This window comes from Homo sapiens, chromosome 14 (genome assembly GCF_000001405.40).
Source record: "Homo sapiens chromosome 14, GRCh38.p14 Primary Assembly".
NCBI lineage: Eukaryota > Metazoa > Chordata > Mammalia > Primates > Hominidae > Homo > Homo sapiens.
Window position 1 is genome coordinate 76,363,735 of NC_000014.9, and position 16,940 is coordinate 76,380,674.

The 16,940-nt window shown below is 48.4% G+C and overlaps 1 protein-coding gene across 8 annotated transcripts in view; it reads left to right on the forward strand.

Moving 5' to 3' along the window:
• ESRRB (estrogen related receptor beta) overlaps positions 1 to 16,940 on the forward strand; it is a 191,061-nt gene that overhangs the window by 52,958 nt on the left and 121,163 nt on the right. For 5 of the 8 annotated variants that reach the window (NM_001379180.1, XM_011536553.3, XM_011536547.3 and 2 more), the window contains exon 1: positions 12,403 to 12,717. The exons of 2 other annotated variants lie outside the window; for them this stretch is intronic. In NM_001379180.1, coding sequence (NP_001366109.1) covers positions 12,668 to 12,717 — 50 coding nt within the window. In that variant the 5' untranslated portion in view covers positions 12,403 to 12,667. Of the gene's footprint in view, positions 1 to 7,536; positions 7,853 to 12,402; positions 12,718 to 16,940 lie in introns of those variants that run through there. One more of the 8 variants, NM_004452.4, reaches the window with a different exon arrangement.

The following is a 16,940-nucleotide window of genomic DNA, read 5'->3' on the forward strand; positions in this document are numbered from 1 at the left end:
CCAGTTATCTACAGTGCTTAGGTTTCCAGGCCTACTCACAAACGCCCTTTCTTTAGTGACAGCATGCTGCACTGGGATGGACTCTGTTGAAGTAACGTAGTAGAATTGACAGAGAGGACAGGTTTGGGGTGAGCTAGACTTGGGTTCTAATCCCAGACTGTTTTCTGGCCTTGAGAATCTTATCCCCAGAGCTTCAATTTTCTCCTCAGTAAATAAAAGGAGTGATGACACCCAGCTCAGATGAGAGGTGGGCTTGGCTTCCCTGAAATGGGACTAAGTGGCAGAACACAGCCAGGTTCCCAGCACAGAGTAGGTGTGCAGCAACTGCCAGCTTCCTCTCTGCCTCCTGCTGCCCCTGGTCATTGAGTCTGAGATTGATGCTCTAGTTGGCTTACTCCACAGGTACAGTGAAGAAGGGGCCGAAAGTGAAAATGCTATGGTTTTTACAGTGATTGCCCAAAAGAGAGGAACCAACCATATGATTGAATAAGAAATAGAGTTTCTGTCTTTATTGCTGATATTTGATAAAAGGCAGCATGATTTGATTAGAGAAAGGTAGAGTAGATGGGCAAATGATGAGGATGCTGAGGGGGCTTCTGGACACTTTCAGGGGTTTGGTGATGGTTACTACTGATCTGTTTGGGGATGCATTCTCTTAAAAATGTCCTAAGGGGCCAGGCGCAGTGGCTCACGCCTGTAATCCCAGCACTTTGGGAGGCCGAGGTGGGTGGATCACCTGAGATCAGGAGTTCAAGACCAGCTTGGCCAACATGGTGAAAACCCATCTCTACTAAAAGAAATGCAAAAATTAGCGAGGTGTGGTGGTGCATGCCTGTAATCCCAGTTACTTGGGAGGCTGAGATGGGAAAATTGCTTGAACCTGGGAGGCAGAGGGTGCAGTGAGGTGAGATCACACCACTGCACTCCATCCTGGGCAACAGAGCGAGATCCTGTCTCAAAAAAAAAAAAATGCCCTAAGGACATGTGGACAGTTGCCTTTTTCTGTTTCTCAGAATCACCAACCCAACTTGGGGGCAGGAAGAGACAAAGAATAACTGGGGTAAAGGAAGGGTAGCAGGACATGGCTGGGAGGGACCTCAAGCATGTGACACCAGATTGGATCATTTTGAGCAACTGCCCTTCTCTATACAACAAAATTATTCTTGGTAACAATCATGTAGTAATAATAATCGTGAACTTTCCTGATCTGTCGATTAATTTAAAAACAAACGATAAGCTGTTCGGAACGAAGAATACATTTCTATTTTAAAGGTATTATTTAAATTCATTGAAATTTGTTATGTATGAACTAATATGTGATCCTACCAAGAATTACATCTCATAGTTCGGGATTTGTTTCATTGTTCTCAATTTTAAATGCAAATAAAAATGCCAAGTGGTCACAGAATAACCAGAGTGAAGTAACTTGAGTTCTTTGTTTTTAGAATCACTGTGCTAAGGCTGGCATGGTGGCTCACGCCTGTCATCCCAGCACTGTGGGAGGCCTAGGCAGGTGGATTACTTGAGTCCAGGAGTTCAAGGCCAGCCTTGGCAACAAAGTGAGACCCTTGTCTCTACAAAAAAATTTTAAAAAAGTAGTTGGATGTGGTGGTGCACACCTGTGGTCCCAGCTACACGGGAGGCTGAGGTGGGAAGATCACTTGAGCCCAGGAGATTAAGGCTCCAGTGAGATGTGTTCACGCCACTGCACACTAGCCTGGGTGACAGAACAAGATCCTGTCTCCAAAACAAACAAACAAACAAACAAACAAGCCCCCCACTGAATCTATTGTTTGAACGCAGGGGTATGTAGTACTTCAGGGGCTGAGACACAAAGTGTGCCTAAGCGAGCTTGAACCATTCTGAACCATTAGGAATTTACTCTGGAAACATTTGTGTAGTGTGTGTGTGTCTGACTTTTTAACTTCCAGGTGGAATGCAATTTGTATTAAATAATAGGTAACAAAAACTTGCTAATTTGAAGCTTACATATATTATTAAGACTCAACAGCAACTGCAAAAATTGTTTAGAACTTAGACCAACAAAAGATTTTCTTGGAGAGGAGTATTTTATCATTGACATCATTTTGACTAGCTGGAGCAAGATGATAATTAAAAACACTCTGACTTTTAGTCGGTGTAAGTCTTGCTTTTCCATTCTGTACAGAAAATGCCTCTCTTATTGCTCGCTGACATCCGGTCTCCTTCCACCACCCTGCACATGGTACACCTCAAGGTGTAGCAGACTATTGGTTGCCAACTCAAGAGCCATTCCTGCCTCCGCTTACAACAGAAGTGGATTTGCTTGTTATTAAATGCCAGCGTTCTCAGGAAAAGCAAGCCTCTCCCCTACCTTCAGGGAGTGATCGTATTTTAAACCAGTCATGGTGGACTATTTCTCCTTTGACAGTGATTGGTTTGGGGGTGAACACGTGACTGGAGTCTGGCCAATAAGAAGTGAGGATAAGTTGCTGGGGTGGGAAAGAGAAACTCCTGTAAAAGATTTTCTTCACATTAAATTCAAATCAAAACACAGAAATAAACAAAAAAACAAACTAAAGAAATAAGGAGCGACATATCCCTCAACACGAACACACAAATACATTCACCTCTTTCCTGGATTTGGACACAGCTGGGTGAGGAAGTAGGATGCTCAGGCCCACCAAAACCGGCCTTCAACAATGGGAGAACAAGTTGAAGGTGAAAGCCAGTATGTTAAGGACGGCAGAAGAAAAAAATGGAACTACCTGCCTCTGGAAAATTTGCTGTGTGATATAATAGACTCTTACCCTTTAAGCTACCGTCACTTGACCCTCCCATTGCTGGAAGACAAAAGCAACTTAGAGCTATTGTTGGATGTGTGTGCACGTGAAGGGGAGATGGTCGCCCCGGGAAGTAGCAGACTCCTTGTGGAGAAAACCAGGGCAAAGAAAGAGCACAATATGTACTTGGCCTCTCAGGTGTGGTGGGAGGAGAGCAAGCCAGTGGAGAAGGGATACTGGGCCAGATGGTTCTACCGCTTGGCTTTAGATGACACCATTAACCTGAACATCCTGGCAGCTGAACCGGAACTAGAGTGTTGAAGTAGGTGGGTGGGTGGATGGTGCAGGGCAGGACCTGTGTGGGGCTCTGCAAAACAGTGAGTCTGTAACTGGGTGCTGAGTACAGATAGTCATCCATCAATCACTGTACTCACTGTGTGCCCCCTTCCTAACCAAAGAGGGGGTTCGTAAATAATACAATAATTAAATGGAAAGAAAGTCAGTGACCCTAAGCGATTTGCGGACTGGCTGTTTGACTTAGCCCTGGTCGTCTAGAAAACAGAGACCTGGGGCGAGCATTAAGTTACTGGTACTTCATTTGGGAGATGCAAGCCCAGGGAATGGAGGTGGTGGCAAAAGGGAAGTAAGGGGAGGGGAGATGCCAGGCAGTGAGACATGATGATGTGTGCTGTGCTGGCCACCACTGCATCCAGCCTCAGAGGCTTAGCAGGTTGCATGCATTTTCTGGAAAGCTTATAAAGAAAAAAAAAATTGACTGGGCACAGTAGTGGCTCATGCCTGTAATCCCAGTATTTTGGGAGGCCAAGGTGGTAGGATCACTCGAGCACAGGAGTTCAAGACTACCCTGGGCAACATAGTGAGACCCTGTCTCTACAAAAAATTTTAAAAAATTAGCTGGATGTGGTGGCACACACCTGTAGTCCCAGCTCTCCAGGAGGCTGAGGCAGGAGGATTGTTTGAGCCTGGGAAGTCAAGGCTGCAGTGAGCCATGATCGTGCTACTGCACTCCAGCCTGGGTGACAGGGGGCGATCCTGTCTCAAAAAAAAAAAAAAAAATCACGCCACGAAGCAGTACACAGAGTGGGAGAAAGAGGGAGAAATTTGGGGAGCTGCCCTCCTGAACTTCTGGGTGCCATCATCTGGCTTCTCAGCAAGCCAGATCTTAGGCACTGGGAGTAGAGGTGAGATTTCACCTGAGAGGGAAGCTGACTAAGAGAGACAAAATAAGAAGGCAGTCCAGGGAACCCGAGCCAACAGCTTGTGTGTGGTACAGGGTCAGCACCTAAGTGTTTGCCCTTCCATGGGCAGGGACAACCCATCCCTCCTTGTCCCATGTTTCTCCCCCTCCTTGTGGTGCTCAGACACCCTGCAGAAGGCCTTTGTCCCCCTCCACCTTTCTTCAAGTCCTTTCCACAACACCCTTCCAGTTTGCTTTTTTTTTTTTTTTTTTTTTGAGACGGAGTCTCGCTCTGTCACCCAGCCTGGAGTGCAGTGGTGCTATCTCAGCTCACTGAAGTCCCCTCCTCCTGGGTTCAAGTGATTCTCCTGCTTCAGCCTCCTCAGTAGCTGGGACTGCAGGTGCGTGACACCATGCCCGGCTAATTTTTCCTTTTTTTTTTTTTTTTTTTTGTATTTTTAGTAGAGACGGGGTTTCACCGTGTTAACCAGGATCGTCTCAATCTCCTGACCTTGTGATCTGCCCTCCTCAGCCTCCCAAAGTGCTGGGATTACAGGCATGAGCCACTGAGCCCGGCCCCAGTATGCTTTCAAAGCAAGTGCCTCAGAGGTGAGTGTAAAACGCCCTCTGTGGCTTCAGGAAGGGAGAGTAAAGAGGAATTATTACTGCTCCCTGCTCTGCTGGGCTTGGTAGAATTACCCCAAAGCAGTGTTTATCATGCCATGAAGCTGGATGCCCATGTTTAATGTGCTATCGGTTCTGACCCCAGGTGTCTCTCTGCATCACTGCTCTCCAACCAGCGATCCTACAGTCTGTGGCTCAGCTGAGGGTCACTGCTGACAAGTGTATTACTGGTGTTTATCCATATTAAATCTTGTAGTGGTGACTGCCTTTTACCCATTTTTCTAAACTCTCTGATTCCTCTGTAGTTTCCCTTGCTGCTTTGTCTTGTCCTTCTTGGAAAGGCAAACCCTCCCAAGTCAGGAATTCTATTGAAGCTTGGTGTTCCCAGTTGTTTATGAAGAATAAAGATGTTATGGATGGCCATGCTATGAAGCTCGAGCCTTCATGTAGAATTGTACTGACCCATTCATAATTACATCATTCAGAGTGGTGGAGAGTTCACCAATGGGACTGTTTTAATTACAGTATACATCTGTGAAGGTAATGGTCAGCCAGCACTTTTCTCGTGTAAAAACACAGTTAAAAGCTGTCATCTTGGCTGGTCGTGGTGGCTCACGCCTGTAATCCCAGCACTCTGGGAGGCCGAGGTGGGTGGATCACCTGAGGTAAGGAGTTTGAGACCAGCCTGACCAACATGGTGAAGTCCCGTCTCTACTAAAAATACAAAAATTAGCTGGGTGCGGTGGTGCGTCCCTGTAATCCCAGCTACTCAGGAGGCTGAGGCAGGAGAATCGCTTGAACCAGGGAGTCAGAGGTTGCAGTGAGCTGAGATGGTGCCACTGCACTCCAGCCTGGCAACATCTCAAAAAAAAGAAAAAAAAAAAAGCTGTCATCTTAACCATGTTTTCTATAGGTCTACACTTTAGAAAACACTGATCTTTGATTTTTTCTTTTCTTTGAGGTTTTTTTTTTTTGAGACAAGATCTAGCTCTGTCACCTAGGCTGGAGTGCAGTGGCATGATCTTGGCTCACTGCAACCTTTGCCTCCCAGGCTCAAGCAATTCTCCTGCTAAGCCTCCCGAGTAGCTGGGACTACAGGCACACACCACAGTGTGTGGCCAATTTTTGTATTTTCTGTAAAGACAAGGTCTCGCCATGTTGCCCAGGGTGGTCTCAAACTCCTGAGCTCAGGTGATCCACCTGCTTCGGCCTCCCAAAATGCTGGGATTATAGGCACGAGCCACCACGCCCGGCCTCGATGTTTGATTTTTCCTAAAACCTGGAAGCATTTGCTGGTTTTTTTTCTCTCCACAAAACATTTTACTAGAGCAAAAATAAAATGCATTTTATTCCAAAAAATAATTGGGTACAATGAAGTTCTACCTTAATTGAGCCATTAGGAAATAAAAACACCTTTGAATGTCCCCAATGTTGAATTTTCTGTCATTCATACTAGGGAGACAGGCTCTGTCAACATGTTTCTTTGTTTGCACTTAACAACAATACAAGTGTGTGTGCTGCTTTAGAATTAATTTTCCGAAAGTTTCCCATATTTTGTGGTTTCTCTAAAATAGTTATCTTTTAGAATAGACATGAAAATGGAGGCATAATCTGTGAGTTTGCAAAGAAACTGTTTATTCTTTCTGTGGCCATTGCTGACCATGGGATTTTTGCAGTTAAAACTATCATCAGCCAAAGAGAACTTTTTCTTCTACCAGTGATGAGACCCTAGAAACAAATTGCTTGCATTACTATTTGTAATCAACTATGTATGCTCAAATTGTTGCCAAAGCCAGGCATGGTGGCTCACACCTGTAATCCCAGCACTTTGGGAGGCTAAGGATGGATTACCTGAGGTCAGGAGTTCGAGACCAGCCTGGGTAACATGGCAAAACCCCATCCCTGCTAAAAAAAAAAAAAAACACAAAAGTTAGCCAGGTGTGGTGGTGGGCACCTGTAATCCCAGCTACTTGGGAGGCTGAGGCAGGAGAATTACTTGAACTCGGGAGACGGAGGTTGCAGTGAACTGAGATCACGCCATTGTACTCCAGTCTGGGCGACAAGAGTGAAACTCTGTCTCAAAAAAAAAAAATTGTCGCCAAAGTCACAAGAAACTGAACGATAATGTAATATGTGACACGGACAAAAATAAGGTCAAGTTTCTTTGTTATAAGAAAAAACTCCACAATCCACTGTAATGGAAAATATTTAATGAGACAGGTCATTCATTCAGTCAACAGCTAATTGTTCAATGCCTCTTAGCTACCAGGTACTATCGAGGTATGGTATTCTTTCTCTCCCCCTGATCTCCCTTCTCCTCCTTCATTTTCTCTTTGTGCTTCTCCTACTCCTCTTTTTCTCCCTTAGAAATTTGGCAAGGGATAAAGCTATTACAGTCATAATGTGCTCCTATTCTCCTGGTAGTTGGTAGGAAAAAAAAAGATTTTTTGTTTCTATGGAGAGACAAATCTCACTTTCCTCATCCTCCAACCTGCCTGCTCACTGCAGCTACCATCTTGTATAGGGCCTACAGGAAGAAAGAATCTATGGTAAAGAGAGAACTTTAATATATCAATCAGCTGTGGTGGTGAGAATGGATCTTGAGGCTCAGAAAAAAGAAAAACGAATGGAGCTTTGAAATATCTGGAAGTTATTCCAAGACCCCTGGTAGGGATTTCAGATAACGAAATGGATGACGCCAGTGGTGGGAGGGCACCCAAGCATTTATCCACTCAAGATGCCCCCTTCATATTTTATCCTTGGTGTCGTGGCAGCAGTGCTAATAGGACATGAGCCTTCTTGCCCCAGTAATGGCCCATTACGGCTTCAGGAAAAGCCATCATGTTTCCGCAGCATTTATCTGTCAGCAGGAGACTATTATGAGAGCACAAACTCACATTGTATTAGCGTTATCAGTTAATTATGATCCTTGGGACCAGTGCCAGCCAATGGGCTAGCAGTCTGCTGACCATCACTCAGGGATATAACTCCACACCCCCAAATTCAAGCATGTAAGAAGACAGCAGGTCCGCAGAGAGGTGTGGTCAGGGACATTTCCCCTGGCCGGGAGCCCATGGAGCACTGTCCTCAGAGATGCGCAGGTTAGGCTCACTGTCTAGGCCAGGCCCACCTTAGTCACTGTGGACTGGCAATGGAAGCTCTTCCTGGACACACCTGCCCTAGCCCTCACCCTGGGGTGGAAGAGAAATGAGCTTGGCTTGCAACTCAGACCATTCCACGGAGGCATCCTCCCCTTCCTGGGCTGGTGGTAAGAAGTGGCTACATACTGTGGGTGTTTCTGAAGGTATCATTCCCACCTGGAAGCTTGGCTTCAGGAAAATGGGGATGGGTGAGGGACAGGGATGGCATAAACAAACAGTTAGCATTCCTACACTCACTGGATTTAGAGAGCATGTGGCAGATTCTCCAAAAATGCCTGTTGGGTCTTGTCTTTTAGTGAGGAAGCCGTCAAGTCCTCTACTCTCCTGGGGACCAAGCTGGCTCCACCAGCTTCTGCTAAGTTGCCTGGCTTGAAAGGTGGAGGAAGTATCCTCCTATTGTTGGTCCTAGGGGAGCATATGGCAGGGAGGGGATTTGAGGACCTAAGAGACACTGCTTGCTGCTGCCTCATTTGTGCAAAAATGGCTGGTGTCTGGGGAGGCTGCCTCAAGAGAGGGAAGATACTACCAAGACTGGATTCCATTAAGAGTGGAGATTTTCACCCGACCTCTGGCAAGAGTTGCTGTGCTGGGTTAGACTGCATATATCATGACGAGACTGCTCTAGTGACCCTTGAGATCTGGGCCTTGGAGTAGGATGGCATACCCTGAGGACTTAGGCAGGCTGGGGTGGGAAAGGGCGGGTGGTTAGTGGGAACCTGTGTTTGTCTAGATCTCTGACATACTCAGTGCTTTTTGTACCCAGGGAAATAGAGGCATGGGGGACAGAGTGGGCTAGGCTGTGTGTGAAAATTTTTCCTAATTATCTGCCACCTGGAGCATTGCTTACTGTAGGACAGCAGCCTATGACATCGGCATCCACAAACCAGTGCTTCCTTTTTCCCTCCCAGGAAACCCACTGGGGGAAGGGTGAGGACACAGAAGCCTGTGTCCCCTCTGTCCACCAGGTAAAGAGTGTGTGGAGCGTGTTGTATTGGACAGTTCTTGTTTGTCATCATTTTTCTTAGGGAAGAGCTCAAACTCAGGGAGGGAGGGAGTAGGAAAAGCAGAGTGGCGGGTCATGGTGGCTCATGCCTATAATTCCAGCACTTTGGGAGGCCAACTCAGGCAGATCACAAGAGGCAAGGAGTTCTAGACCAGCCTGGGCAACATGGTGAAACTCCATCTCTACTAAAAATACAAAAACTAGCCAGGTGTGCTGGTGGGTGCCTGTAGTCCCACCTACTCGGGAGGCTGAGGTGAGAGGATGGCTTGAGCCCAGGAAACAGAGGTTGCAATGAGCTGAGATCATGCCACTGCACTCTAGCCTGGGCGACAGAGCTGGACCCTGTCTCAAAAAGAAAGAAAAGAAAAGAAAAACTTGTCTTTTAAGATTTAGGAATTGAATAAGTAGAAATTCAGTGACCACAGATGGAATGCTTTGCCAGATATTCTCTGTGTGACCTTGGGTAGGTCACTTCACCACATAGAGAAATTTACAAATTTCCTTTGTCAAATCTGATGATGGTTCTAAATGGTTCTCTGAGTCCCTCCTAGCCATAAGGTGCTGTGAATGTAATGAATATCAATTTAAAGGCATTTGTCACAAAAACAACGTGAGCTGCTGTCATCTTACATCCTCCACATTTACTGCATCTAATAGCTTTTGTCCACTTTCCTTTTGGCTGACTTGCCTACCTGGGGGTACTAGTACTGGGGTGGAGGGTAGTGAAGGGGTGGCTTAGAGCTCTTGCTGAGCATGGATTACAAACAGCCCCTCCTCTAGGTGAGCAGTAAAATAAATCATGATTTGTTGACTGCATTTTAGGACTGAAGAAAGCCAAGAACCCTGCCCACCCCACTCCACCCCTGTACAGCCTCTGTTTTCTGGAGAAGAGATGACTTTGGCAAGGTCACATGGAGGAGTCAGGACCCGATCCCAGAGTCCTTTACTGTCCCATACTGCTGCCTCTCCAGCCAGAGGCATGGAGCCTAACCCTGGCTTTGGGAAGGAATCCATCCTCCGTGAGTTGGCTGAGGGCAGAATGGGAAAAATGTGGGCCCCATGCACAGTGTGGGACCTAGGCAAGTTTGTCTGGAGAATCACAGGAGGAGCCTGGGCCTGCCAAGTTGGATCATGCCACTAGGGTGTCCCGGCGGCTGGCCCTCATCTCTCCTCTTGCAGAGTCAGAAAGGAAATGAGAAAGAACTTGGCCCCAGGGCTGTGTGAGAGGAGGCTCAGGCAGAGGAAGGCTGAGAAGGCCTAGGTCTCTAGGAGTTCATTCCTGCCTGGAGGACAATCAGCTAGTGCCCAGAGATAAGGCTCTGGTTCACCTTCATGCCTGAACCTTAGAGGCAGAGAATAATAGTAGGCAAGCATTAGCCTAGTGTTCTAACCAATGCAGACCCCACTTTCTCCTCATTTGCTCCCAGTGGCTTTGAATCCATTGCTCTGGGCTGTGATGTGGTCTTTCTTTTCAGACCATGAAGAGGACCTTATTTCTACCAAGTGTGTCTTGTTTCCAGTTAAAAACGGTGCACCCACACAGAGTAAGGAGTCAAGGGGCCCCAGACAACCCATCACTGCCTCACCTTCTTCCTGGGCAGCGGCCTGTCACTCAGCAGGCTGTGGCACCCCACTCCAAACTCCTACAGGTTAACCATTCATTCAGCAAAATCTTCATCAAGCAACTGTTATGTATCAGGCAACTTTAGATGCTAGAGATTCTCTGGTGAACAAAAAGAGACATGGTCCCTACTCCCATGGAGCTTACAGTCTAGTGAGGGAAGGGTGGAGGAGGGAATTATCACTCATGCCAGTACACAGACAATTGCAAACTGTGATAAACTACCCAAAGCAAAGGAACCACAGAAGATTCTGGCACTATATGGAAGGTGGGGCCTTCTAGGTGGCAGATGTAAAGACTGGGGCCCAGAGGGAAAGCAGCAGGGGCTGTGGAGAGGAACAGAGGGACCTGCAGGAAGCTGTCATAGGATGCCTTCCTTGGAGGCCAAGGACTGGGGCCTTTTTCCTAATTGCAACAACGGGACATTGGATGTGCATTTTACAAATCGCTCCCTGGCTGCTGTGTGCCTGGAGAATGGATTTCAGCAGGGCAGAAAGGATGCCGAAAAACCAGTCACTGAGGTCCTGGTGAGAGATGATGGTCATATAGAAGCCAGGCTCAAGGGAAGCATCCCTGCACCCCTCTTTCTGTCTCTGATGAAGTACCTATGTGATTTTTAAAAATCGGGGGCTGCTGGGGGGCTACTGACAGAGGAGACATCTTCATCCATCTCTCTGTGAGATGCCTTCCTGAGCCTTGCGCCCAGAGAATCCCACTTGTTCCTCCACTTCAGCACATATGAAAAATCTCAGCTCTGTTTCCCAACCTGCACGAGCACATTTATCCAAGTCAAAAATCATCTGCGATCCTTCTGCCCACTCTCCCAGCCCCTGCCCAGGCGGCTGGCCCCTCCTGGGGTTTCTCACAACCCTCCCTGCCTTTATTCCTGAAGTGCTTGAACATTGCCTGCAGTTACACTCCATTTAGACATTATTTTGATGATAAAATTATGTCTTCCCCCCTACTGCTCATTGTCTTCTGCAGAATATAGGAGAATAAGGTGGTGGTGTCTCCTGAGGGCTTTTCCCCCCTTTTAAATAATTCTATACCTACCCCCCTCCCCACACTCATTTGAATCATCAAATTGATTATTATCCCTGTGGCTGGTGCATCTCAAAAGATGAAAAACCCAGAAGCAGGGCTGGGGCATGACTTACAGCTCATTTTGGTACAGTGGCATCCCATAATATTCGGGTTCACTGAGGGAGCAGCGGACGGGGATGCAGGTGCGTTTGTAGCTGGGGATTCAGGTGTGTATTTCAAAGTGTGTACTTGTGCCTTGGAGTGGATGTGGCGGGTAAGTTGATCATTTTCACCACGATTGTATTTTCCTAAGCAGACAGGAATTTATTTGCTCATGTCTGTGTCCTGGGTACATTTCAGAGAGCTGCCAATGACTAGAGCATCACTTCATACATTGAGAGAACGTTTTATAGATGCGCACCCTGCATCTAGCCATATGAGAGTGGTGCAGAACTGACTGGCCCAGGTGATGAGAACTGGGAAGGGAATCTGTTTCTCTCCTGCCTTCTTGCTGTGCCTCACCTGCTGGCCTGACCCTTTGCACTTTTGCGCACACAGCGCAGGGTTTGAGGCTGCCTCTTCTCTTTGGTGCGTGGGTGGAGAAATGTGACTCATTTTTAATTTGGAAAACAGATCCATTCCAGAAAGGCTGAGAGGTGAGTTTGCTAGACCTGCCAGTTAAAAGATGGGATAGGGGTGGCCCGGGGGGTATGTAAGCAATAAATCTCCCCCCACCCCAGACCCACCTGGCGGTTGGACATTCCCCCCCACCCCCCTTTAACTGCGAGAAGGCAGGCCTTAGGGCTCTAACACCCAGTACTCCTACTGCTCAGGAGGTGGGGACCTCGCGCGCTGAGCGTCTCATTCCATGAAGTCTCTCTGTCTCACCCCCTCCCCCCACCCCAGCTTGATTCTGTCACTTTAAGTCCAGCCCCTGAGAGATAGCCAATAGGAGCCAAACTATACATCAGTCTCCCAGCCTTAAAGCTACAGTAGGGTTAGTGGGCTCCAAGTCTCTTGTGCCCCAGCCTCCTCCACGGCTTCGCATCCCCTCTGCCCGCTCTCTCCGGAGCGTGCGGATGAGTGGAGAGCTGGGCTGTGCGCGCACGGCTCTCTGCCTCCCTCTCCCCCGCCGCGGCCGCCTCCTCCCACTCTGCGTTCTCGCGCTCACTGTGCCCTGCCCGGGCTCGCACCTTGCCCGTGCCCTTCACTCGCTCTTCCGCGTGATTTCCCCGCCGTCTTTCTCTACCAACTGGGAATGCTAAAACGGGACTGATGGACGTGTCCGAACTCTGCATCCCGGACCCCCTCGGCTACCACAACCAGTAGGTGCCCTGCTTCTCGGTCTGTCTGTCCTTCTGCCCGTCTGGCAGTCTCTGTCCTGGGGATCGCAGTTCCTTTTCTGCACATTCTTGTGTAAAAGTGGAAGGGACTTCGGGGGGGCACTTGGGGGACGAAGGAGGGGAAAAGCCGCACACTTCTGGGTTTCTTTCTAGGGCATAAACCCTCCTCTAACTTTTTCCCGCACCCCCTTTTACAAATCCACACTTTCAGGCAAGAGTGGCGCTTTCTCATGCACTTTCTCCCTTTCTCTCTCCTCTCTGATCTTGCTCCGGGGTGAGAAAATATTTGAGTTTTTGTGGAATGGAGCAAGAAGGGAGGCAGAAGCCCAGAACAGGTGCAGGGATGTGGTTGCAAGGATGTCCTGTCCCGTCAGAGAAAGCCTTTCCCGCGGGCGCTTTGTTTTATTATTTCCATCCTGGGGACCAAAAATGATCCCGGCAAGAGAGAGAAAATCGAACGTGCCGCGGCGGTTTGGAAACTGCAGGCGGCCAGTGCCGCTCTCGCCTCGCGGTCTCCGTGGGGCGCCCCGAGGGTGCGCACGTGGCGCGGCGGATCCAGGGCGCCCGGGGGATGCGGGCCCAGCGCTGCGTCGTAGGCAAAGTTCGTTCTCGGCTTTGGGGGAGGCTGTGACCAGCGGAACAGAAGGGCACCATTTCCCTGCTCCGAGGCGGCTTTGCGCTCGCGGTGCCAGAACCTGGGGTTATCCGAGCGGCGTGGGCGCGGGCGGCAGCCGGCGCCGCGAGAAGCGACTCTCAGAAACCGCGGGTCTCCAGCCCCGGGGCAGCGCGCCAAGAGCGCAGAGTGGGAAAGTGAACTGATCGCCTAAGCAGCGGGTGGTCAACCCGCGTGTCATGTCCGGGCTCTCGGGGATCCCACTCTATCCACCTACGGTTTCCCTCCCGACACCCTCCACGGTCGCCGCTCCACCTGCTCGGGTACCTGCCCGGGTCTCCCCTTGGGCGCTGCGCACCCCACGGCGCCCCCGGCGGGTGTCCCGGAGGCAGGTTGTGTGCGCGTGCAAAGTGGTCCCTCGGAAGGCTTAATAATAATAATACATAAAACTCTAGGTTCTTACGGACAGCTTTCCTGCTTAACTTTGTGCTCGTCTTCCTCTTTTTTTTCTGACGCAAACTAAATTCTCCAAGTCAGCGTTTCTCCAGTTCCACCGTGCTTTCATTTGTGTACCACTCGCTCTCCCCCTCCCCCCAAGAACCACGACTACATCTCTAAAATAAATACTCTGGATCATGTGGGGTCCCAGGAAGTACCTAACCCCTCTCCTGGCTGCATGGAGCACCTCCACCACGGTGCACCCCGCTTGAGAGAGAGGGCAGCTGTCCACAGCATGGCTTGTGTTGTTGACCAGACTGTTCCTGCTTCTAGTTTGGGGATTTTCCCCACTCCACCCTGGGGCAGAGGGCCTTTTAGATGCCACCAGAATGTCGGCAGAAGGCGCTGGTCTGGGAGAGGAATCCTTAATAATAATGGATTCCGATTTCCATCAGCTTGAAAAGTGGCTTTCATTCCTTTTAAAGGTTAGATTCTAGCTGGGGTGGGGATGGGGTGGGAGCACCTGAGGTTAGTGAGGCTGTGGACAGTATTTGGTGCTTGTGGAGCATTTCCTTACATAAAATGATCAAGTATGACAAATATTGGATATTTAAATTATTAAGGCTCCCTCTCTCCAGAGGTGACTTCTTTAGTTGAGCACGAAATACTTATGTATTTGTCCCTGGCTCAAGTCATAGTCAATAAATATGAAAATTCGTATGAAGGAAGTACATTCTTTGATTATGCTTACCAGGAAAGCAAGGAGTGAGATGGAGGCTTTAACAGCTGGGTAATTCATCGAGTTGACGGCAGCCCTGACTGGAGTTTGAGGAGAAATATGGGCAAAAAGGCAATGTCAGGGAAGCAGCAGAAGGAAGTCAGGGAGCTGAGGTCCTGGGGGTCTGGGAAAGGTTTGAGATAGAAATCATTTATAAACTAAGCCTGACAGAGGTTTAGATCCCCAACCCTTTCCGGTTTTTTTTTGCAAAGAATTAGCTTGTCCCTCCATGGGGCACAGGAAAAGCCAAAAATATACCTGCTGTCTCCACCGAGGAATTGAGCACCCCTGTCAGATGTCATTTCTCAAAGCCCAGGACCCACTGGGCAGCAGCCCAGGCATTGATGAGCTGGCCTCTTATACATATATGTGCCGCCTAGGGAGGGTCTGCATGTGCTGTGGCGCAGAGGGGCATCATTTCAAGGACGAGCTTGTGGAGGTCTGGGGCTGGTGTCTGGGGAGACATCTTTCTGACCTCTACCCCATGGCTTTGTGACACAGCTTTAGAGCCATGGGTAGTAAAGTAACAGAGCAGGGGACTGGATTCTTTGGTTTGGTAGAAGGATAGTAGGACAAAGCCATTCATTATAGTGCCGGCATTTCCCAGGGAACATACAGTAAGTGGGTTCGTGTATGCTCTGCTCACTGTTTTGACCCCTGTGGATTGGCTGACATTCCCAGACTTGAGAAAACCCAAGGGCACAGGGACTAGAGTTGAGGGAGGAGGAACTCTCTGGTCCTCCCTTTTGCTTCTAACACATAGAGAGCATTTGTTAATGCTGTAGAATCATTCTCACTTTCCCAGGTGAGAAATGAACACACACAGAGAGAAACATACGTACCTTCCTACCTTGCTCTCCTTCATTTTCATTTTCCTGTAGCCAATCCTGTAGGTGACTCCATTACCCATTCTAATCAATATTTTATGTACATATATAATCACCCAGAGTGGGAGGCAGCGTGCTCGCCTGTGTGTGCCTGTGTACAAATGGGTCCATGACTGGACCAGCTGGAGACCCACGGCAAACAGTCCAGAGAGCAAGGGGGGCTATCTTCCCCACCGTCCGATGACCACTTTGCTGTTGTTAAAGAAACAAAGAACAAATTGTCCTGAAGGTAAAATATGTGGGTTCACACGTAGGAAAAATGCCACATGGTAATTCAGAGTCAGTGACCCGGAGAAAAACAAAGGGGGAAATTAATTTTTAATGGTACATTTAAAAATAAATCAGAGTGAGGACATCAGTCTCGGTTTTCCAAGGGAGGGGCTCTAGGAAATAAACCTTTATGTGCCTGTCAGCCTTCTGGAGGTGTGCGCTGCCATGGAAGAGGATGGGTGATAGGAGGTGGGAGGTGTTCAGGCCTGAAGGCGATGAACTGGGAGGAGACATTAGGTCAACGCTGGAGGGCCCCGGTCCCGGGTAAGGCCCTTTCCAGCTCAGTGAGATCCTGACATCACTGGAAATTTCCTCTTGGAGTTTGTTACTTCCCCCAACCCTTTTCATTTTAGAAACAATCCTTTATTTTGCTGATAATGAGGACATATGAAAAAGATCTGTTCCAAAAAAAAAAAAAAAAAGCACAGAGAAACAACCTGGCCACAAAACAGGAATCTTTTTATTCTATTGATTTGGAGTAATCAATAAATATTCCATTTAGTCTGGGAGAGGAGGGGCAGAGGGGACTTTCGGGGAAAGCACTTCAAAGGAGGTGGCGGTGACAGAGATTTCATGTCACACCCTGCCTTCTCAGAGCACCCCTGGCCCTAGCTCGGGGGCCCTTATAACTTTGTCCTGCGTGTGCTCCATTCATATTCCTGATAACTGGACATTTTGCCAAGTGGTTTTTAAAGATAATCTAAACTCATTGAGAAAGTTTGTCCCCTTCCTCAGCCCTCTGCTGAATGCCTTGTTTCTTTTGAGCAAAGATCTGCCTACTTCTGATGGGCCGGAGGAAGGATGCGTGTGACAGAGAGACATTGAGGGAGCATGTACATTGGGGAGGGCGGTGGAGTTGGCCATGAATGCATAGGATTCAGAAGGAGACAGAATTCGAAGACAGTAGACAAGCAAGAAACAGGATGCTTTTGGCCTGACTCTGCAGCGCCCTTCTCTAGAACTTGTCTCCCCAAGTCCTTTAAGCGACTTCTTAAAAATGATTAAAATTCTTTTTGGTTCCAAATTTAAGGGAAGAGATAGCAGATATTTAGACCATAATGTCCTCCTTCAAAGTAAAGCCCACACCACACCTTGACTGCCTCCATTCTGGTGTTCCCCAACACCTACCGGCCATCATCGAGTCTCTGTCCATTTCTTTCTGAAGTGAGACCCTCGTAATGCTCTTCCTGCTGAGCAGGAGCTCTGCCCAGAATTAGCG